This window comes from Homo sapiens, chromosome 5 (assembly GCF_000001405.40).
Source record: "Homo sapiens chromosome 5, GRCh38.p14 Primary Assembly".
NCBI lineage: Eukaryota > Metazoa > Chordata > Mammalia > Primates > Hominidae > Homo > Homo sapiens.
This window is the reverse complement of record NC_000005.10, coordinates 76,335,992-76,358,306: the sequence shown is the minus strand read 5'-3', so window position 1 is coordinate 76,358,306 and position 22,315 is coordinate 76,335,992. Positions and strand designations below refer to the sequence as shown.

Genomic DNA, 22,315 nt, shown 5'->3' with positions numbered 1-22,315 from the left:
ATTGGGGGTTCTTGCCCCGTAGAAAAGCGGGACTTGCCGCTAAGGGTGAAGGAGAAGGGGTTGAGGGGTACTTGCCCCTCACTCAGAAAAGCAGAGAAGGGGTAAAGAAAAGGAGAGAAGGGGTTGGGGTACTTGCCCCTTTCCCAGAAAAGCGAGACTTGCCGCTAAGGGTGAAGGACCAAGGCAGGCATACCTGCGTGGTCTGACACCTTTGAAACGTGGGTGAATAATCAGGCGTCCCTGCAATGATTAAACACCAAGGGAAGGCTGTCTTCCCAGTCTGTGACCGGCGCCGGAGTTTTGGGTCCATGGATAAAACGTGTCTCCTTTGTCTCTCCCAGAAAATGAAAGGAATTGAAATTAAGAGAAGGGAGAGATTGAAGAGTGGAAAGGAGAAAGTGGTTGAGGGACAGTGAGAGAGGCTGGAGAAGAGAGTAAGAAGAGGCCGCTTACCTGATTTAAAATTGGTGAGATGTTCCTTGGGCTGGTGGGTCTGAGGACCTGAGGTCGTAGGTGGATCTTTCTCACGGAGCAAAGAACAGGAGGACAGGGGATTGATCTCCCAAGGGAGGTCCCCCGATCTGAGTCACGGCACCAAATTTCATGCGCGTCCATGAGAAGAGACCACCAAACAGGCTTTGTGTGAGCAACATGGCTGTTTATTTCACCTGGGTGCAGGTGGGCTGAGTCCGAAAAGAGAGTCAGCGAAAGGAGATAAGGGTGGGGCCGTTTTATAGGATTTGGGCAGGTAAAGGAAAATTATAGTCAAAGGGGGTTTGTTCTCTGGCGGGCAGGAGTGGGGGTCGCAAGGTGCTCAGTGGGGGTGTTTTTGAGCCAGGATGAGCCAGGAAAAGGACTTTCACAAGGTAATGTCATCACTTAAGGCAAGGACCGGCCATTTACACTTCTTTTGTGGTGGAATGTCATTAGTTAAGGTGGGGCAGGGCATATTCACTTCTTTTGTGATTCTTCAGTTACTTCAGGCCATCTGGGCGTATACGTGCAAGTCACAGGGGACGTGATGGCTTGGCTTGGGCTCAGAGGCCTGACAATGGGGTTTCACCATGTTGGTCAGGCTAGTCTGGAACTCCTGACCTCGTGATCCACCTGCCTCAGCTCCCAAAGTGCTGGGATTACAGGTGTGAGCCACCACGCCCGGTCAAGAGTTGTTTTTTTAAAAAAAAATAGAGTTTACTCTCCAGCACTGCCCTTCCCTTCCTGGAGGTCAATGAATGGGGCTAATAGTTTCAACCCTCTAATCACTTGGTCTTTTTGATGACCAGCCCCATCCTGAGGCTACCTGCGGGCCCTGCCCTAAGTCACTCATTAGTGACTTAAGCTCAGATGTGATCAAATTGCTCCTTACGAATAACAAGACACTCCTATCTCTTAGGAAATGCCAGGACTTTTTTTTTTTTTTTTTTTTTTGGGAGATGGAGTCTTGCTCCGTTGCCCAGGCTGGAGTGCAGTGGCGTGATCTCGGCTCACTGCAACCTCTGCCTCCCGGGTTCAAGCGATTCTTCTGCCTCAACTCCTCGAGTTGCTGGGATTACAGGCATGCACCACTATGCCCAGCTAAATTTTTTTTTTTTTTTTTTCAGAAAGAGTTTTGTTCTTTTTGCCTAGGCTGGAGTGCAATGGCGCCATCTTGGCTCACAGCAAACTCCACCTCCTGGGTTCAAGCAATTCTCCCTGCCTCAGCCTCCCTAGTAGCTGGGATTACAGGCGCCTGCCACCATGCCCGGCTAATTTTTTGTATTTTTAATAGACATGAGGGTTCACCGTGTTGGCCAGGCTGGTCTCGAACTCCTGACCTCAGGTGATCCTTACCCGCCTCGGCCTCCACAAGTGCTGGGATTACAGGTATGAACCACCGTGCCTGGCCAATTTTTGTATTTTTATTTTTATTTTTTGAGACAGAGTTTCACTCTTGTTGCACAGGCTGGAGTATAATGGCGTGATCTCGGCCCACTGCAACCTCTGCCTCCTGGGTTCAAGAGATTCTCCTGCCTCAGCCTCCTGAGTACATGGGGATTATAGGCGTGCGCCACCATGCCTGGCTAATTTTGTATTTTTAGTAGAGACGGGGTTTCTCCACGTTGGTCAGGATGGTCTCGAACTCCTGACCTCAGGTGATCCACCCGCCTTGGCTTCCCAAAGTGCTGAGATTGCAGGCGTGAGCCACCGTGCCCAGCCAAGGAAATGTCAGGCGTTTTTAGGAGCCTTGTGCCAGGAACCAGGGACAAAGACCAAACACACATATGGCAATTAGGAAAACCAGAGCTCAAGTCAGCCTCCGTGTAAACTTGGACAAGTCTCTTAATCTTTTTGGGTCCTAGTTTCCTTAACCTTATCATTTATAGTTGAGTTAGGCAAGGGGTCTAAAGTCAAATCTCTGCAGTGGCCAGGCATATGACGTAAATGAAATGATCCTGACTTCAGAAAAAAGGAGGCAGAGTCTATTCTGCTTTCCTCTTAACTCAGGCTTAAGAAAACAACAGTGAGTAGCTGGGTGCTGTGGCTCACGCCTGTAATCCCAGCACTTTGGGAGGCGGGGACGGGCAGATCACCTGAGGTCAGGAGTTCGAGACCAGCCTGGTCAACGTGGTGAAACCTCGTCTCTATTAAAAACACAAAAAATTAGTCAGGCGTGGTGGCGGGTACTGGTAGTCCAAGCTACTTGGGAAGCTGAGGCAGGAGAATTGCTTGAACTCAGGAGGCACAGGCTGCAGTGAGCCAAGATCATGCCACTGCACTCCAGCCTGGATGGCAGAGTGAAACTCCATCTCAAAAAAAACAAAAGAAAAAGAAAAAGGAAAACAACAGTGCAAACCTAATAATAAACGGTCACCAAGGCTCTGCTTCAAAACCATAGAAGCCACAAGGAGCAGTGGGGACTAGAGTAAAGGGAAGAGGACATCTTCCAGGTGGGGCTGCCATAGCTTATCTGTAGCTAGGACTGTGGGCCAAGTGCTCCTAGGCCTTCTGAGTTTTCAACGGAATTAAGAAATACGGATTGTTTTTCCGATGTGAAATCTTCTGAAGTTTAAATTTTGGGCAACTAATTCAAAACTTAAGAAACAATCTCTGTGCCTTTCACTCCTGCAGGAGCCAAACTAAAACAAGTGTGGTTTGTTAGGCCACCTGTTTGTGATTTCTAGGTGGCAATGTAGTTCCTAGAGCAATGCTTCTAAAACAGATTTCTGGACTCATTGGGAATGTTAGCAGGTTCAGCCTCTTGAAACCATACACTAAGATTTCTGAGTATGCATTTTTGAGAGGAGACCATTCATAAGTTCCATTAGTGTCTTTCTTTTCTTTTCTTTTCGTCTTTCTTTCTTTCTTTTCTTTCTTTCTTTCTTCTTTTTTTTTTTTTTTTTTTTTGACAGAGTCTCACTCTGGCTCAGACTGGAGAGCAGTGGTGTGATCTTGGCTCACTACAACTTCCACCTCCGGGGTTCAAGCAATTCTCCTGCTTCAGCCTCCCGAGTAACTGGGATTACAGGCACATGCCACCATGCCTAGCTAATTTTTGTATTTTTGGTAGAGACAGGGTTTCACCACGTTGGCCCAGCTGGTCTCAAACTCCTGACTTGAAGTGATCCACTTGCCTCGGCCTCCCAAAGTGCTGGTTTTACAGGTGTGAGCCACCGTGCCAGGCCCCATTAGTGTTTTAAAAGGACTATTTGGCTGGGCACGGTGGCTCACGCCTGTAATCCCAGCACTTTGGGAGCCCAAGGCGGTTGGATCACAAGGTCAGGAGTTCAAGACCAGCCTGGCCAAGATGGTGAAACCCCATTTCTACTAAAAATACAAAAATTAGCCAGGCACGGTGGCAGGAGCCTGTAATCCCAGCTACTTGGGAGGCTGAGGCAGGAGACTCGCTTGAACTAGGGCAGCAGAGCTTGCAGTGAGCCAAGATCGAGCCACTGCACTCCAGCCTAGGCAACAGAGTGAGACTCTGTCTCAAAAACAAAACAAACAAACAAACAAAAAAACAAAAACACTCATGACCAGCAAACTTTTTTTTTTTTTTAAATACCCAGCTAGTTTTTGTATTTTTAGTAGAGATGGGGTTTCACTATGTTGGCCAGGCTGGTCTCGAACTCCTGACCTCATGATCCACCCGCCTCGGCCTCCCAAAGTGCTGGGATTACAGGCATGAACAACCACACTGGCCAGCAAACTTTTTAGCCCCAATAACTGGCCTTGCACAGCTTTTCAGCGCTAACTCCAGAATGCCAAGCAATTAATGATGATGTAATCAGACACTTGGTTCATTCACTCACTCATTCATTCCACAATAGTTAGTGAGCATTTACTATGTATGAGGCATCTTCTTGGCACCGGGAATATAGAAGCAAATGAAAGAGACAAAGTCTTTATTCCCATGAAATGGACATCCTAGTGGAGGGACACAGATAATATCTATAAAAGCAAAGAAGTACATATTATGTCAGGTGATGATGAGGGCTATGCAAGTTAAAAGCCTCAGGGTGGGGCAGAGGGACATTTTAAGTAAAGGCGTCTTGGTTAAGATTTTACCTGAGTAGACACCTAAGTAAAGGGAAAAGCCACTTAATCACCTGTAGAGAGCATTTCAGAGGAGGGGCAAGCAAAAACAAAGGCCCCTGGGCAAGTGTGTAAAGTGGTCTGTTTGTGGAGTTGCAAGGTTAACTATACCTCCTAGTGGGAATACAAGGAGGTTTTCAGAATTTTTTTTATAAGACAAAGAATTCCTTCAAATTGTTTGTAATGCTTTTCTCTCTTTATGTGATAAAGCCAAGTTTAGAAGCAGATCTTAGAAAAGAGGTCCACACCCACTAATGGCTCCTGCTATAAACTGGCTCCGTTGTTTCTGAGAGCTGTATAGTAAATTTAAGGAGAGCTATAAAATTGTTCACACTTGTTGACTTGGTTACTTCACTTTGTGGGATATTTCTACAAGGCAAAAGAGAGAGAAAAAAGACAACAATAAAGAAATCTACTAAGTTCTTAGCAAGACCTTGTATAATATATTTGGAAAATTTCAAGTAATTTTAATCCTCAAAAATGGAAAGAAAGCCAGGTGCAGTGGCTCGAGACTGTAATCCCAGAACTTTGGGAGGCTGAGGCAGGAGGATTGCTTGAGGCCAGGAGTTCAAGATCAGCCGGGGCAACATGGCAAGACTCTGCGTCTACAAAAAAAAAATTAAAAAATTAGCTGGGCATGGTGGCTCCCACCTGTAGTCCTAGCTTCTGGGGTGGCAGAGGCAAGAGGATCACTTGAGCCCAGTTAAGATTATAGTGAGCTATGATCATGTCACTATTGCACTCTAGCCTGGGCAACAGAGCAAGACCTTGTCTCAGGAAAAAAAAAAAAAAAAGAGGTAAAAATAAAAAAAAGAATTTCAATATGCTTAGATTCTATAAGACTGTTTAAATGACACATGGGAGCAATATTAATATGTGGAAATGTATTATATGAAAAATGTAAAGTAGAAAAAAACTAAGATACAGACCTGTGTATTTATGCTGATTAAAATTGTGGAAAATGTACCGATGCATATTAAAAAGACCAAAAGAGAATTTGGAGGGATATGAAATATTTATTGTCTAGCCAGCTTTTGTCTTAGTCTGTTTTGTGCTGCTATAACAGAATACCACAGACTGGGATCATTTATAAAGAACATATTTCTTTCTTACAGTTCTGAAGGCTGAGAGGTCCAAGGGACCAGCATCTGGTGAGGGTCTTCCTTGCTTCATCATTTCATGGTGGAAAGAAGAAAAGCAAGAAAGTCCAAGAGAGAGAAAGAGGGGGCTGAACTAGCTTTTATGACAAACCTACTCTTGCAGTAATGAACCCACTCTTGAGATAACGTTAATCCATTCATTAGGACAGAGCTCTCATGACCTAATTACCTCTTAAAGGTCCCACCTCTCAACAGTGTTGAACTGGGGGCTTATGTTTCCAACACGTGAACTTTGGGGGCACAGTCAAACCATAACAGCTTCCTTTTTGGATGGAGTTGCTTACGTTCATAATTAATCTTTACTTTTTTTTTCTCTTGTTGGATTACATGGCAGATGTTTTTGTTTTGTTTTGTTTTGTTTTAAGACAGAGTCTCACTCTGTCGCCCAGGCTGGAGTGCAATGGCGCAAGCTCAGCTCACTGCAACCTCCGCCTCCTGGGTTCAAGTAATTCTCCTGCCTCAGCCGCTCAAGTAGCTGGGATTACAGGTGCCCACCACCATGCCCAGCTAATTTTTGTATTTTTAGTAGAGATAGGGTTTCACCAGGTTGGCCAGGCTGGTCTCGAACTCCTGACCTCAGGTGATCCACCCACCTTGGACTCCCAAAATGTTGAGATTACAGGCGTGAGCCACCGCGTCCAGCAGCCGATTTTTTTTTAAAGTGAGATTTTATCCTCTGTAAAGTACAATCCCTTGATGATGATGCTCTAAATGACAGAACTATTTGCATGCACTGAGCTTGCCATGCGAGGGTGAGAAATTTGTATACCGGGTCCACAGGAGACACGGTCTGGCTAGCACTATAGTTGGAGCTATTACAGCAAGGTGCTTTTGTTGTGGTTTTAGTATCAGCACTATAGAACAGATACACTGACTGGGACAGAAGACCAACAGCAGCTCGAGTGGAGGCAGCTAGCTCTGTAAACTGACATTTCCACTGTGGCAGGGTGTAGAAGTGCTGAAGCAATTCCCTGCTGAGACAGTTCCCATACCTTTCTAGATGCAGCCTGGCATCCAATTTCATGCTTGTCTCTTTGTGGGAAGAGGGACACCCCAGCTCATAGAGGTTTCCAAAGCAAAATACTATCTAGCCCAGACTGAACATTGAGACTATTTTTTTTTTTTTTGAGACTGGATCTCACTCTGTCATCCAGGCTGGCGTGCAGTGGTGCGATCATGGCTCACTGCAACCTCAACCACCTGGGCTCAAGCTATCCTCTCACTTCAGCCTCCTGAGTAGCTAGGTCTACAGGTGCACGTCACCGTGCCTGGCTAATTTTTTTATTGTTTTTGTAGAGACAAGGTCTCACTATGTTGCCCAGTCTGGTCTCAAACCCCTAAGCTCAAGTGACTCTTCTACCTCAGCTTAACAAACTGCTGGGATTACAGGTTCAGCTATCTCACCTGGCCTAAGATATATCGTTGTTATTCAGGTCAATGGCCGCCTCCAGAAAGCTGCCTTCCCCGGCCATTCAATCTGAAGTTGCACCGACCCAGTGATGCAGATGCATCATCCTGTTTTGTGCTCTGCATACCATCTTAGAGAATTTTTTTTTTTTTTTGAGATGGAGTCTCACTCTATCAGCAGGCAGGAGTGCAGTGGTGAGATCTTGGCTCAATGTAACCTCCGCCTCCCGGGTTCAAGCGATTCTCATGCCTCAGCCTCCTGAGTAGCTGGGATTACAAGCATGTGCCACCACACCTGGCTCATTTTTGTATTTTTAGTAGAGACAGGGTTTCACTATGTTGGCCAGGATGGTCTGGATCTCTTGACCACATGATCCACCTTCCTCGGCCTCCCAAAGTGCTGGGATTACAGGCGTGAGCCACCATGCCCAGCCCATCTTACAGAATTTTGTTGATCTATTTGTTTACTTATTGTCTGTCTTTCCCCATTCTGATGTAGGCTCCTTGAGGAAAGGAACAATGTATTATTCCCTTTGGTGCCTAGAAATATTTCTGGCTCATTTTAGTTCCTTAGTATATATATTTTTAGTGACTGAATAAAGATACTTGCACCAGTCAGCAACCTGCTGTCTCTAGGCCTCCGTGGTGTTATAGCTAAAGCCACACTGAACAAAGGATTTCACACTGGAAAATGAGACCACAGAACCTGGCTGCTGCACTCATTAGAGTCTCAACAGGCATGTCACATTTCCTGAGGCCCCAGGAAAATAGTTGCTCTGGAGAAGGCAGATGACTGCCTTGCTTCTCCTTGGAGAGTTCCCCATATTCCCATATCCCTTCTTCTTCCTTCTCTCTTCCTGGCCCTTTGCTTCTCTGGGGAATGAGGGATAGAAGATAGGTAAGTCATGGCAGACAGACAGGAAATCTCATATTTTTTTCTCTAGCAGCTAAAGGGCCCCTAGAGAGGAAAATCACATGTATGGAGGGCAGGATGGAGGAAATGGTAATGGTCACTTAAGACATGCAGATTTGTGATCGTTTAATTCTTGCATCATTTTAAACATACAGTGCACAAAATAGCTCAAGATGAAGGATGTAACACACCTCCTTGAGTCCATAAAACCAGAACCTAGCATCTGAACATCAGTGGGAAGCTAAGGCGCTTGCAATGCTATTATCAACATGAAGTTGGTTTCTGTTGTGTGGACACAGAAAAACTGTCTTACTTGTACTTGCTATAGCAAGTCTTCAACTGCATACCTGGGGTTATTACTCTGGAATGTCTGATACACTGCTTCACTGTGTGAGGATTTTAAAAGTGTAGCCATTGATGGCCCAGCATGGTGGCTCCTGCCTATAATCCCAAGCACTTTGGGAGGCCAAGGTGGGAGGTTCACTTGAGGCCAGGAGTTTGAGGCTGCAGTGAGCTATGATTATGCCACTGCAGTCCAGCCTGGGTGACAAAGTGAGACTTTGCTTCAAAAAAAAAAAAAAAAAATGAAGGCTAAAAATCCATCTCTTTCCATGTGTTCTTGTGGAGAGCCAAAACTTTCAAGGATTTTTTCTAGTCAGTCATTTTCTGACAATCTAAACTGAATTGTTTAAAATATACATGTCTTTGGTAATAATCACTGGATTATTTTATTTTTTGAGATGAAGTCTTGCTCCATCTGGAGTGCCCAGGCTGGAGTGCAGTGGCGCGATCTCACCTCACTGCAACCTCCCCATCCCGGGTTCAAGTGATTCTCCTGCCTCAGCCTCCTGAGTAGCTGGGTTACAGGTGCGCGTCACCATGCCTGGCTAATTTTTGTATTTTTAGTAGAGACAGGGATTTTGCTATGTTGGCCAGCCTGGTCTCGAACTCCTAACCTCACGTGATCCCCCTGCCTTGGCCTCCCAAAGTGCTGGGATTACAGGCGTGAGCCACCGTGCTTGGCCTAATTACTGAAATTTATTGAGGGCTTACTCTGTGCCTGACACTGTTCTAAATACTTTACATTAACTCAACAACCCCAAGAGGTAGGTACTATTCTTCTTTTTTATTGATGAAACAAATGAGGGACAGAGAAGTTAAGCAACTTATCCAAGGTTAACTAGTTAGACATGATAGAGTATGGAAATGGACCCAGGAAATTTGGCTCTAGCATCCATGTTCTTTTTCTCTTTTTCGAGACAGAGTCTCACTCTGTTGCCCAGGCTGGAGTGCAGTGGTATGGTCTCGGCTCGCTGCAAACTCTGCCTCCTGGGTTCAAGCTGTTCTCTGCCTCAGCCTCCCAAGTAGCTGGGATTATAGGCACCTGCCACCACGCCCAGATAATTTTTTGTATTTTTAGTAGAGATGGGGTTTCACCATCTTGGCCAGGCTGGTCTTGAACTCCTGATCTTGTGATCTACCTGCCTCGGCCTCCCAAAGTGCTGGGATTACAGGCATGAGCCACCATGCCCAGCCCATGTTCTTAACCATTACTGCTCTACAGGGCACCTAAAGATTTAGCTTTATTATATAGAGTCACATTACTCATGTACAACCTTCTCTGGTACAGTTAGCTGCTGAGTTAAGTGGGCAGTGAAACCAAATGCTGACAAGGATGTGGAGCAACAGGAACTCTCATTCACTGCTGGTGAGAATGCAAAATGGTACAGCTTTGGAAGTCAGTTTCGCGGTTTCTTACAAACTAAACATATCCTTACAAATAATCCAGCAATCATGTACCTTGATATTTACCCAAAGGAACTTTTATGTCCATACAAAAACTTGCATATGGATGTTTATAGCAGCTTTCCTTATAATTGCCAAACTTTGGAGGCAACCAAGATGTTTGTTAGTAGGTGAATAGATAAATGGATGCACCGTGGTACATCCAGACAGTGGAATGCTATTCAGTGCTAAAAAGAAATGAGGTATCAAGCCATGAATATACATGGAGTAATATGCATGGAGGAACCTTATATGCATATTACTAAGTGAAAAAAGCCAATCTGAAAAGGCTACATACTGTATGATTCTAACTATATGACATTTGGAAAAAGCAAAATATGAAGACAGTAAATGATCAGTGGTTGCCAGGGGTACGGGGTGCTGAAAGAGGAATGAATAGTTGGAGCACAGAGGATCTTTAAGTCAGTGAAACTATTCTGTATGATTCTATAATGGTGGATACATGTCATTATACTTTTGTCCAAACCCATAGACTGTGCAACACCAAGAGAGAACCCTAAGGTAAACTATGGACTTTGGGTGAAAATGATGTGTCAAAGTAGGGTCATCAGTTGTAACAATTACCACTCTGGTGAGGGGTGTTGATAATGGGAAAGGCTGTGTATCAGGGCAGGGGATATTTGGGAACTCTCTGTACCCTCTGCTCAATTTCACTATGAGCCTAAAACCGTTCTAAAATATAAAGTCTATTAAATAACATAGCTAGGACCGGGCACGGGTGGCTCACGCTTGCAATCCCAGCACTTTGGGAGGCCGAGGCAGGCAGATCACCTGGGGTCAGGAGTTCGAGACCAGACTAGCCAACATGGTGAAATCCTGTCCCTATTAAAAATACAAAAATTAGCCGGGCATTGTGGTGCATGCCTGTAGTCCCAGCTCGGGAGGCTGAGGCACCAGAATTGCTTGAACCTGGGAAGTGGAGGTTGCAGTGAGAGGAGACTGCACCCCTGCACTCCAGCTTGGGCGACAGAGAGAGACTCTGTCTCAAAACAACAACAAAAAAACAAAACATGTCCGGGCATAGGTAAGAAATAAGAAGGTACATGGTGGAATGTGCAGCCCAGATCTCCCTTTAAGATCGAGGCACTCATTCCCCAGCTTCCCAGAGTGTTGTTTGCTGGTGGCTCACAGCCTAGTCCCTCTCCAGACCATGCCTTTGGCAAAGGGAGCTGCTTCACCCAAAGTTATCCCCCATCCATAGATGGCCATCATTCAATGATGAGGTACAAATGGGGGTAAAAAGGCCCTGTCCTTTGCCTCAATATGGCAAAATTCTGAAATCCATCCCATATGCTGAGCGTGCCGTCAATTTGGCTGAGGCCTCCATCACAGCTCAGCTTTCTCCTGCCCCGTCCCACTTTCTTCACTTCTGTTTTTCCCCCCTCTTTTTTCCCTCTCACTTCTTTATGAGAGTTCTCACCAAGAGCTTTTTATCAATACACTTCCTGCAGTTTAATCTCTCTCTTAGAGTCTGTTTCTGGGGAAATCTGATTTAAGAAAGATGCACGGTGGAAGGGCCTTCTAGGTAGCGGAGACAGCACAAGCCAAGTTGTCTTGGCAGTGTCTAGCAGCAAGCTGTGTGCAGGTGAGATGGATTCACTTGGGCATGGTGGGAAGGGAGGCGCCAGTGGGAGGCAGGGGCCAGATCACTGAGGGCCTTGTATGCAGGTTGAGGAGTCGGTTTCATCCTCAGCTTTTTCATTCATTTATTCATTCAACAAACATGAGTTTTGTGTCTGCTATGTGTAAGGCACAGTCCAAGGCCCTGGGAATACAATGGCAAAAAAGTGCAAACAAAATATATACATGCATTAATCTCTTTCCTAAGAGATCAAAGTGAGTGTAAAATGAAATAACATAAAGTACTGACCGCAGCGACTGCCACGTAGCAGGTGCTAAGTACTTGCTAAGACCTCTCCCTTCTCCCTTCTCTCCCTGGGGGTAATTTGTAGGGCACCTAAAGTTGCAAAGGAAGCAGAGGCAGGAAATTAGAGCTTAGACTCAAGCCAGAGAACCTGGGACTATATCCACTGAAGTGCTGGAGTGTGTTGTACTGGCTCACAGAAGCTGATGCTAAATTTTCAGGAATTTTTGCAAGCCATCGTTAAACACAGCCATTGTCAAAAGCTAAGTTATATAAACTTAAAATTAAACAAATTACATTAAAAACAAAGGTAACAAATCCTCAGAATGTATCGCCTCCTGATTATTTTCCTACATATACCATTATGTGCGCACTTAAGATTATTTACACCTATTGTATCTGTATGGTGGAAATACTATAGAATGATAGGATTGCACTTCTCCCAACTCCACATTTGGAGACATCACACTGGTAGCTTGAAATTAACCATGGTGGAAGTAATTACACCAAGGAAATCTGCAAACGCTACAAATCTGGAGAGATCGTTGTTAAATACTTACCAGCACAGGTCTGGCTATATCCCTTTGCTTATTGCGAACAAAAATGACCTTTGGGCAACTAGAGCTCTGAGGAGTGGTTTCATGCATTAGGTATTTTGGGGCTTTCTACACAGAGAGGCAGTTGAGGGTGATGGAGGGGTGCAGATGCTGGAGCCTTCTGCCTGGGTGCCAAGCTAGGCTCTTCCCTTGACTAGCTATGTGATGTCAGGTGGGTGACTCACTCTCACTGTGCTTCAGGTTCTTCTGTAAACAGAAGTGCTCCCAGCTAGGGTTCCTGGGAGGATGAAATGAGAAATGTTTTGTAAAGCACTAGAACAGTGCCTGGCTCATATTAAATGCTCTGTAATTGTTAGCTATTACTATTGAGTTAGCCAACAGATGAAAGAGTACTTTGGAAATCACGCTGACAGCCTGGACAAGCCAAGATGGCTCAGCAGTCTCTTGGCCTCACTTCAAGAGTATGAGCAGAGAAGGGTGGTGTTCCTCGTCTAGGGAGCCTTCCCTAACCCTCCTGTTGGGGCCTACTTCTAGGAGCCCTGATAATGTCAGAACTTCTGCCATCATAATACATGTCATATTGTCCTTGCCTATTTACTTGTCTGTCTCCCCAGCTAGACTGTAAGCTGGTAGAGGAGAAGCTGGGTCTATCTTTTCCACCCTGCCTGTCTCCAGCACCCAGCACAGTGCCATGCACATGGCGACTGATCAATAATATTATTGAATAAGTGTCCTAAATGAATGCTTATTTGCCGTTTGGAGAGTCTTCCAGGTGGAAGCTCTGTGAGGGCAGGGACTAGATCTGTTTTTCTAAGCCATTGTTTGTTGGTGCCTAGTTGAGAACTGGCACGTGATAAACTTGCTTACCCTTCAATGAATTCATTCTAAATACCAGAATGCTGACACTCTCCCTTCTACTTTTTGAGCTTGCCTTTCCCAGTTGCCTAAAAAGGCAAAAGAGAGAATATCGAGGATGTAACATCTATGCTGGGTTAGTCCTGAATATGCAAGTATGGTAGCCTAGTAGTTAAGATTGTGCACGTTAGAATAAGATTGAACAACTTAGGGTTGAATTGTGCCTGTCACTGACTAGCTGTGCATTTTGGGACAAGTCATTTAAATTCCCTGAGTGTCAGTTTCCTCATCTATGCAATGAGGATAATAATATACCCACATGGCTATGAAATAACTGTAACAAAATAGTTCATTCTAAATTAAGAAAGAAATGAATCACAAATAGTTCATTTTTAATTTAAATTATTTAAAATACAAATATGTCATAAAATAATTTTTTAAAAATTATTTATTTATTTATTTTGAGATGGAGTTTCACTCTTGTTGCCCAGGCTGGAGTGCAATGGTACAATCTCAGCTCACCACAACCTCCGCCTCCCAGGTTCAAGCGATTCTCCTACCTCAGCCTCCCGAGGAGCTGGGATTACAGGCGTGCACCACCACGCCCAGCAATTTTTTGTACTTTTAGTAGAGATGGGATTTCTCCATGTTGGTCAGGCTGATCTCAAACTCCTGACCTCCGGTGATCCGCCCGCCTTGGCCTCCCAAAGTGTTGGGATTACAGGCGTGAGCCACCGCACCCGGCCTAAAATCATTTTTAAATAAATTAATACAAACAATGTCTGTAAAGCACCAAGTCTCGTAGATGGAGCTCAATTAATGGTAACCATTATATTATAAGGAAGTCTGGAAAAAGAGAGTGTCTCTTTCCCATAGGGATGTATTTCTTTTGTAACAAATCAAGGGCAAGCTGCCTTTTCTGAATTTTCTTTAGTGATCTTGGCACTTAAAATCATACTTATTTTGGAAGCTGAGGTAAAATACACTTCAGAAGGAATCATAAAAATGCTGGAAAACAGGGAGAAGTAGAATATATAATTCAGGTGGATGTGTGAATGCTAGAAAGAAGATGGGCAGGGGGCAGAGGTTGGATGATAATGGGTGAGTCTAGGGTAATCTGATGAAGGCAATGTTTGTTGTTGCGGTTGTTATTTGAGATGGTCTTGCTTTGTTGCCCAGGCTAGAGTGCAGTGACGTGATCACCGTTCACTGTAACCTCAATCTCCAGGGCTCAATCAATCCTTCCACCTCAGCCTCCTGAGTAGCTGGGACTACAGGAATGTGCCACTACGCCTAGTTAATTTTCATAGTTTTTGTAGAGATGGGGTTTCACCATGTTGCCTATGCTGGTCTTGAACTCCTGGGCTCAAGCGATCCACATGAAAGGCAGCATTTTTCCATGATGTCCTATATTTGGCACCAGCTGCTACAAACCTTGTTGTACATGTCTCTTGGTGCACATATGCAAACCTTTCTATTGAGTGTATACCAAGAGGAATTATGCAGCTTTAGCAGGTATTTCCAAACATGTTTCTAATGTGGTCAGACCAATTTGCCCCCCTCCTCAGCAGTGGGAGTTCCTTGGTGAGTGCTCCTTGTCAGCACATGGTATTATCAGTCTTTTAAATTTTAGCCATTTGGGGGAGTCTCTAGTGGCATTTTACCATGGTTTTATTTGCATTTCCTTCACGACTAATGAAATTGAGCACCTTTTCATATGTTAAATGGCCATAATCTTCTGGATATTTTTTCGGTGAAGTTTATGTTTAAGTCTTTGCTCTTTTTCTATTTGGTTGCATGTCTTTTTTGTATTGATTTGTAGGAATTCTTCATCTTGTCTGAATCAAATACCTTTCTTGGTGATTGCAATTGTCAATACCTTTTCTAACTCTGAGGCTTGCCTTTTTACTCCTTTAATGATGTCTTTTGATCTTCTGATGACTACTAAAGATACACAAAAATGAATTCCAGCTGAATGTAGATCTAAATGTGAAATGAAAAACAATAAAGCTGCTAGGTGAGGAGAATGTCTTCCTGACCCTGAAGTAGACAGAAATCAAAGCACTGACCTAAACGGAGAGGTTGATAACTTAGACTACATTACAATTAGGAACTTCTGTGCATCAAAATACATCATTAAGAGAATGTGGGCCAGGTGCGGTGCCTCACGCCTATAATCTCAGCATTTTGGGAGGCTGAGGCAGGAGGATTGCTTGGGGTCAGGAGTTCGAGACCAGCCTGGGAAACATAGCAAGATCCCCATCTCTATCAAAAAAAAAAAAAAAAGAGAGAGAGAGAGACAATGTGTTCTATGTATACCAACATACCATGTTGTACACATTAAATGTATGCAATAAAAGACTGAGTGTGTGTTTTAAGCACTTGGATTATATTATTCAATCCTTTCAAACAAGAATATCCCAAATAAGTATCCTCGTTTTACAGATGAGGAATTGAGGCCCAGAGAGGTTAATGAACTTGTCCTGGGCCACACAGCTTACAAGTGGAGAACTTAGGTGTGAGCTCAGGTCTGTGTGAGTCTAGAGACTGAGCTCCCAACTCCTGGCAGTGCTGCTCCACCTTTACCAGCTCCAGAGTGTGCCCTGTGGGGCCTGGCACAGTGTTGGGCTCCAGACATTCACTGTTGGCTTCCTGTGGTACCTTCCTGTGTGTATAGAGATCACTTCACATGGCCTTGCATTCATCCTCGTAAATTATTCATTTTCTCCACCACCGTTTTGTAAACTTGGCCTGCTGTGAACAGTTGCTCTTTGGTCTTCTTTTTAGTCCTGAGGAAGCAGGACTCCTTCTCCTGGTGTGATTTGCTGAGGCTGCACCTGGAAAAGACTCAGAGCCTTGGACAAACATTCTGTGCCTGTAGCTTCTCTGATCTGACAAGATGAATGGCAAAGCCTTGGGTAGCAGGGGAAAGGCAGCCTTGACGAGTTGTGTCAGGTCTGCCAGGCTCTGTACTGTGTACTCACGGCCTGCAGGAGTTGGTAAGGTCCCCGTATATGCATGACCACTTCCCCTTCCTTCTCTCCTTCCTCCTCTTTCTGGCTGCCAGAGGCCCTCCCATGGAGCTGGACATCTGTGCACTGAGAAGGGCCCTGTGCAGGCTGCTTTTGTGGGAAGCAGAATCACAGCAGGGTTTGGGGTATGTGGGTAAGTCACTTGGAGTTGCTGCCGGGGTCACCACAGGCCTAGGTACCTGCTATGCATGCCTATGATAATAGAAGCTAGGAATTATTCGGTCCTGCAAAAAGTCTTGTGAGAGTTAGGCAATGCCAAGGTTCCACCCCCTCCCCACCACCCCATTTCGGCACCCCAAGGGGATCTGGCTCCCATGATCACCACATGCCAATATCCTCATAGTGAAAGGAAGTGTAGATCTGCCTCCAGGAGCAGATGTGAGCCAGTAGTGCTAATCACAGCGGCTATGATTTAGTGAGAATTTGTGTGTCAGGCACATTGCTGAACCTTTTATATACATTTTCTCAATCCTTATAAACCCCAGTGAAATACAAACTATCATCATTTCTAATTCACAGTTGCAGAAATGAATGCTTGGAAAAACTAATTTTTGCTTTCTCAATGCATCACATCACTGCTAAGTGGCCAAGTCAGGACTCAAACCCATATTGTCTGACTGTAAAGCTCAGAGAAATGTTTACTATGAAGCTACTGAGACTTAAGCCCCGGCACCTCCATTTGCATAAGTCCCTTCCCAAGTGCTAAGTGGATCCTAGCAATGTGTTCACATGGTCATATGTGTTTTTGTTGTTGTTTTTTTGTTTCATGTTTCTTGTAGAGATGGATGCTGTTCAGGCTGGTCTTGAACTCCTGGGCTCAAGCAATCCACCTGCCTTGGCCCCCTAGAGTTTTGGGATTACAGGTGTGAGCCACCATGTGTGGCTGGTCATATAATTTTTAAAAATCTGTGGCTGGGCACGGTGGCTCACATCTGTAATCCCAGCACTTTGGGAGGCCGAGGTGGGTGGATCACCTGAGGTCAGGAGTTTGAGACAAGCCTGGCCAACATGGTGAAAACCCGTCTGTACTAAAAATATAAAAATTAGCTAGGCATGGTGGTGGGCACTTGAAATCCCAGCTACTCGGGAGGCTGAGGCAGGAGAATCGCTTGAACCTGGGAGGCAGAAGATGCAGTGAGCCGAGATTGCACTAGTGCACTCCAGCCTGGGCGACAAGAGTGAAACTCCATCTCGGAAAAAAAAAAAAAAAAAAAAATTTTGTAAAACTAGGCCAGGTGCACAGTGACTCATGACTGTAATCCCAGTACTTTGGAAGGCTGAGGCAGGAGGATAGCTGGAGCCTAGGAGTTCGAGACCAGCCTGGACAACATACCAAGACCTCGTCTCTATGAAAAATAATAAAAAATTTTAAAAATTTGCAAAACTAGAAAATTTGCAATCTTAGTAGTTTGTTTCCTTACTCAGTTAAAACTACTGTTTCTTTCCATTCTGCCTTGCTTTTCTCCAATTTCCTCCAGTGTTGGGTGGAGCTGGGCATTTTGCGGATAGGCTAAGAGGAATCTGAGTTGGGATATCTTCAGTTTGAGTTGGTGGGATATATTAGTGTGCCTTGCAGTCCCTTCTGAGATTAAGTTATTGCTAGCTGTCCCACTGCAGGATGACTTCCTGGAATATCCTGCTGCCCACTGTGCCCACATGCCTGTGTCCTGACTTGATGTACAGAACTGTTAACAGAAAGGGATCCCAATCAGACCCCAAGAGAGGGTTCTTGGACCTCACACAAGAATTAGGGGTGAGTCCATGCAGTAAAGTGAAGACAAGTTTATTAGGAAATTAAAGGAATAAAAGAATGACTACTCCATAGGAAGAGCAGCAGCTTGGGCTGCTGGACTAAGGATACGTATAGTTATTTCTTACTTATATGCTAAACAAGGGGTGGATTATTCATTAGTTTTCTGGGAAAGGGGTGGACAATTCCTGTAACTGAGGGTTCCTCCCCCTTTTAGACCATATAGGGTAAATTCTTGATATTGCCATTGCATTTGTAAACTGTCATGGCGCTGGAGGGAGTGTCTTTCTGCATGCTAATGAATTATGATTAGTGTATAATGAGCACTGAGGATGATCAGAGGTCACTTTCCTCACCATCTCGGTTTTGGTGGGTTTTGGCCAGCTACTTTAACTGCAACCTGTTTTATCAGCAAGGTCTTTATGACCTGTATCTTCTGTCAGCCTCCTATCTCATCCTGTGACTTAGAATGCCTTAACCTCCTGGGAATGCAGCCCAATAGGTCTCAGCCTCATTTACCCAGCCCCTATTCAAGATGGAGTTGCTCTGGTTTAAACGCCTCTGACAAAGCCAGACGCTGGACTACAAAACTGAATGTGGCCTGTGTCTTCAGCACAGAGAGTATGTGGGAAGTGGAGGAGAAATGAGAAATCTTTTTTTTCTTTTTTTTTTTTTTTGAGACAGAGTCTCACTCTGTCGCCCAGGCTGGAGTGCAGTGGCACAATCTTGGCTCACTGCAAGCTCCGCCTCCCAGGTTCACGCCATTCTCCTGCCTCATCCTCCTGAGTAGCTGGGACTACAGGTGCCCACCACCACACCCAGTTAATTTTTTGTATTTTTAGTAGAGACAGAGTTTCACCTTGTTAGCCAGGATGGTCTCGATCTCCTGACCTCGTGATCCGCCCGCCTTGGCCTCCCAAAGTGCTGGGATTATAGGCGTGAGCCACCATGCCCATTGAAATGAGAAATCTTAAAAAAAACCAAACAACTATTACTAATCACAACCAGTTTTTATCTTTCTATTCTCTATATAGGCAATGATATCACAAAACTGTTGCCATATGAAAATGAAGAGGCAATCAAAGAATATGCACTGAAAAAATATAGAAAAATAATTTATAGAAATGTGTCAGGCAGTTAATAAAAAGGATTGTTATTTTTCTGGATTTTGTTAAAATTTGTGAATTTATCAGTTTTTTTAAAATGCGTAAATTGTGAGGACCTCTTTTCTCATTCTAGTTACTTTTACGTTAATTTTGTGTTTGTAATTTTGTATTATTTTTCTTAAAGAGGACCCGTCTTCCCAAACCTTGAGGTGACCCTGCTCAAACTCATGCTCTTAGCAATGGTGACACAGTGTCTGCCTCGGAAGCTTCCAGTCCTCAGTTTGGAAAGAGAAATGCCCAAGCCTGAGGGTACTTTAGAAAGTACTGTAAGCCGGGAGCGGTGGCTCACACCTGTCATCTCAGCACTTGGGAGGCCGAGGCGGTTGGATCACCTGAGGTCAGGAGTTCAAGACCAGCCTGACCAACATGGTGAAACCCCATCTCAACAAAAATATAAAAATTAGCCAAGCATAATGGCAGGTGCCTGTAATCCCAGCTACTCGGGAGGCTGAGGTGGGAGAATCGCTTGAACCCAGGAGGTGGAGGTTGCAGTGAGCCAAGATCGTGTCTTTGCACTCCAGCCTGGGTGACAGAGTGAGAATCTGTCTCAAAAAAAAAAAAAAAAGAAAAAGAAAAAGAAAAAGAAAATACTATGGTTGTCTTCTACTGAAGGTGGGAGGCTGAAGAGGGGGCAATAGCACAGCAAAGCCCCTCAGAGAGGGTTAGCAGCAGCAGACTGCAGTGGGGGTGGGATATGTCCAATGTTTGCAAAGAGCAAAAGGGGTGGGGCAACTTATACATCACTTAGCCCTTTGTAATGTATGGTGGCTTTCCTTATAGCCCCACCCAAACCTGAATTTGCTGATGCAGTTTCCTTGGAAATCTCAGTCCAAAGGGCATTTTTGGTGCCACCTTGAAGGTGAGGAAGCAGATGTTAGGGAGTGGAGCTGCTTCAGGTGCTGTCTGTTCAGCCTCCCTGAGAGCTCTGGAGTAGAGGAGGCAGAAATATGGCTGAAGGCAGGTGACTGCTGGTGCACTTGGAGTCAAGGTTGGAGCTTATCCTGTCCTATCTACTTCATTCTGGCCCCAGGGAGTTCCAGTGGCTGCAGGGCAGGAGCCTGGCTTTCCTTCAAGAATGTGTCTCCTTTTGTGGTTTTCATTTCTCCACCTGGTGTCTGGACTGCAAATTACAGGAGAGGATGATGCATTTGCTCTCCCCACCGAACAAAGGGATTGCAGTAGCAGTAGGTGGCATGGTCTTATCCAACTCCAGGCATGCTGCTGCCCCTGGCTCCCCTTGGAGCCACCAGGGCTCAAGCTGGTCACTGTCTTGGAGGAAGCTTCCCCTGGGGACAGGCTCACAGAGAAGGCTGCTTTGTTCAGAGGCTGTGGTGTAGGGAGAGGAAGGATGTGCCTACTGACTCCAAGTTTTTTTTTAAATTACTGTGCAGAGAGAGCACATTCTCATCTGGAATTCTAATAAATGGAGAGACAGAGGGAGGCAAATAACCACAGTTCTCAGAGTAGCCTAGCCAGGCTGCCCTGAGGTCTCCCCCAGAATTATCTGTTTCTGGCTTATGAGTGCAGGACCCTTGTTCCTCAGCCTGTCTTTATCATCCCCTCTGAATGAACAGCATGCACAGGTGTGAATGCATGCACACAGCCCATGCTACCTGCCCATCAGACCATAGGCACATTCCATTCCCTTCTATAACAATATATACACAGCAAACTTCTATACACAGTATACAGTATACATACATAATCAAATAGGTAGTATTTGGGACAATGCTGAATTGGGCTGAATTGTCTTCTTCCCAAATTCGTATGTTGAAGTCCCAACCCCGCAGTGCCTCAGAATGTGATTGAGTTTGGAGATAGGGTCTTTAAGGAGGTATTCGAGTTGAAAAGAAGTCATTAGTATAGGTACTGGATGGGGTTGGACTACCTCCTAATCCAGCATGACTGGTTTCCTTATAAGAAAGGGAAATTAGGACACAGATATGTAAAGAGGGAAGACTATCTGAAGACACAGAGAGAAGATGGCCATGCACAAGCCAAGGAGAGAGTCCTGAGAAAAACCCAACCCTCCCTGACACTTGGATCTCAGACTTCTGGTCTCCAGATCTGTAAGAAAAGAAATTTGGTTGCTTAAGCCACCCAGTCTGTGGTATTTTGTTACAGCAGCCCTAGCAAACAATACAGATAATGATAGCAACTTCATTGCATCAGATATCAACAAGCAGGAAAAGGTATACCTCAAGACTTATGTTGCCTTGTTTTAACACACTGATTATTAGGAATTTCACATTTGGGGCTTTGGAGCCACTGGTCCATGCCAGGCCTGTTGTTTCCTTCAGAACTCGCAATGACTTTTGCTAAAGTTATCTGCACCCCAGCATCCTCTGGTGAATTCCTGTACTTGCCATCATCCCTGATACACTAGGGGTTTTGAAGCCTGTGGACTTTTCTTTTCTCCCTCATTCAACAGCCTGATCATGAAGCAGGAAAGAAAGGAAAATGTGTGCCACGCCTGACTGGTTTTTGTGTTTTTTTGGTGGAGACGGGGTTTCGCTGTGTTGGCCGGGCTGGTCTCCAGCTCCTAACTGCGAGTGGTCCGCCGGCCTCGGCCTCCAGTGGTGCCGGGATTGCGGACGGAGTCTGGTTCACTTGGTGCTCGGTGGTGCCCAGGCTGGAGTGCAGTGGCGTGGTCTCGGCTCACTGCGGCCTCCACCTCCCAGCCGCCTGCCTTGGCCTCCCGGGGTGCCGAGATTGCAGCCTCTGCCTGGCCGCCACCCCATCTGGGAAGTGGGGAGCGTCTCTGCCTGGCCGCCCATCGTCTGGGACGTGGGGAGCCCCTCTGCCTGGCTGCCCAGTCTGGAGGGTGAGGAGCGTCTCTGCCAGGCCGCCATCCCATCTAGGAAGTGAGGAGCGCCTCTTCCCAGCCGCCATCCCCTCTGGGAGGTGAGGAGCGTCTCTGCCCGGCCGCCCCGTCTGAGAGGTGGGGAGACCCTCCGCCTGGCAGCCGCCCCATATGAGAAGTGAGGAGCCCCTCCGCCCGGCAGCCACCCCGTCTGGGAAGTGAGGAGCGTCTCTGCCCGGCAGCCACCCCATCCGGGAGGGAGGTGGGGGTCAGCCCCCGCCAGGCCAGCCGCCCCGTCCGGGAGGGAGGTGGGGGGGGTCAGACCCCCGCCCGGCCAGCCGCCCCGTCCGGGAGGGAGGTGGGGGGGTCAGCCCCCCGCCCGGCTAGCCGCCCCCTCCGGGAGGTGAGGGGCGCCTCTGCCCGGCCGCCC

General features: G+C 45.8%; 1 protein-coding gene across 1 annotated transcript in view, besides 5 other annotated features; it reads right to left on the bottom strand.

The window, feature by feature from the left end:
* Positions 416 to 1,395: an enhancer, noted in NCBI's record as "OCT4-NANOG-H3K27ac hESC enhancer chr5:75652737-75653716 (GRCh37/hg19 assembly coordinates)". NCBI's record gives its function as "activates a minimal SCP1, AML or CMV promoter by ChIP-STARR-seq in naive and primed H9 embryonic stem cells {active_cell/tissue: H9 hESC(naive and primed)}" and the evidence as "EXISTENCE:reporter gene assay evidence [ECO:0000049][PMID:30033119]".
* Positions 4,368 to 22,315, bottom strand: part of SV2C (synaptic vesicle glycoprotein 2C) — a 506,476-nt gene continuing 488,528 nt past the window's right edge. The window contains exon 13 of the mRNA NM_001297716.2: positions 4,368 to 5,177. Coding sequence (NP_001284645.1) covers positions 5,147 to 5,177 — 31 coding nt within the window. The 3' untranslated portion in view covers positions 4,368 to 5,146. The remainder of the gene's footprint in view (positions 5,178 to 22,315) is intronic.
* Positions 7,003 to 7,072: an enhancer, noted in NCBI's record as "active region_22689". NCBI's record gives its function as "activates an Ori minimal core promoter by ATAC-STARR-seq in GM12878 lymphoblastoid cells {active_cell/tissue: GM12878}" and the evidence as "EXISTENCE:reporter gene assay evidence [ECO:0000049][PMID:35858748]".
* Positions 17,984 to 18,753: an enhancer, noted in NCBI's record as "H3K27ac hESC enhancer chr5:75635379-75636148 (GRCh37/hg19 assembly coordinates)". NCBI's record gives its function as "activates a minimal SCP1, AML or CMV promoter by ChIP-STARR-seq in naive H9 embryonic stem cells {active_cell/tissue: H9 hESC(naive)}" and the evidence as "EXISTENCE:reporter gene assay evidence [ECO:0000049][PMID:30033119]".
* Positions 20,034 to 20,259: a silencer, noted in NCBI's record as "fragment chr5:75633873-75634098 (GRCh37/hg19 assembly coordinates)". NCBI's record gives its function as "represses an EF-1alpha promoter that drives an FKBP-Casp9 reporter gene in an ReSE screen in HepG2 liver carcinoma cells {active_cell/tissue: HepG2}" and the evidence as "EXISTENCE:reporter gene assay evidence [ECO:0000049][PMID:32094911]".
* Positions 21,231 to 21,861: an enhancer, noted in NCBI's record as "H3K27ac-H3K4me1 hESC enhancer chr5:75632271-75632901 (GRCh37/hg19 assembly coordinates)". NCBI's record gives its function as "activates a minimal SCP1, AML or CMV promoter by ChIP-STARR-seq in naive and primed H9 embryonic stem cells {active_cell/tissue: H9 hESC(naive and primed)}" and the evidence as "EXISTENCE:reporter gene assay evidence [ECO:0000049][PMID:30033119]".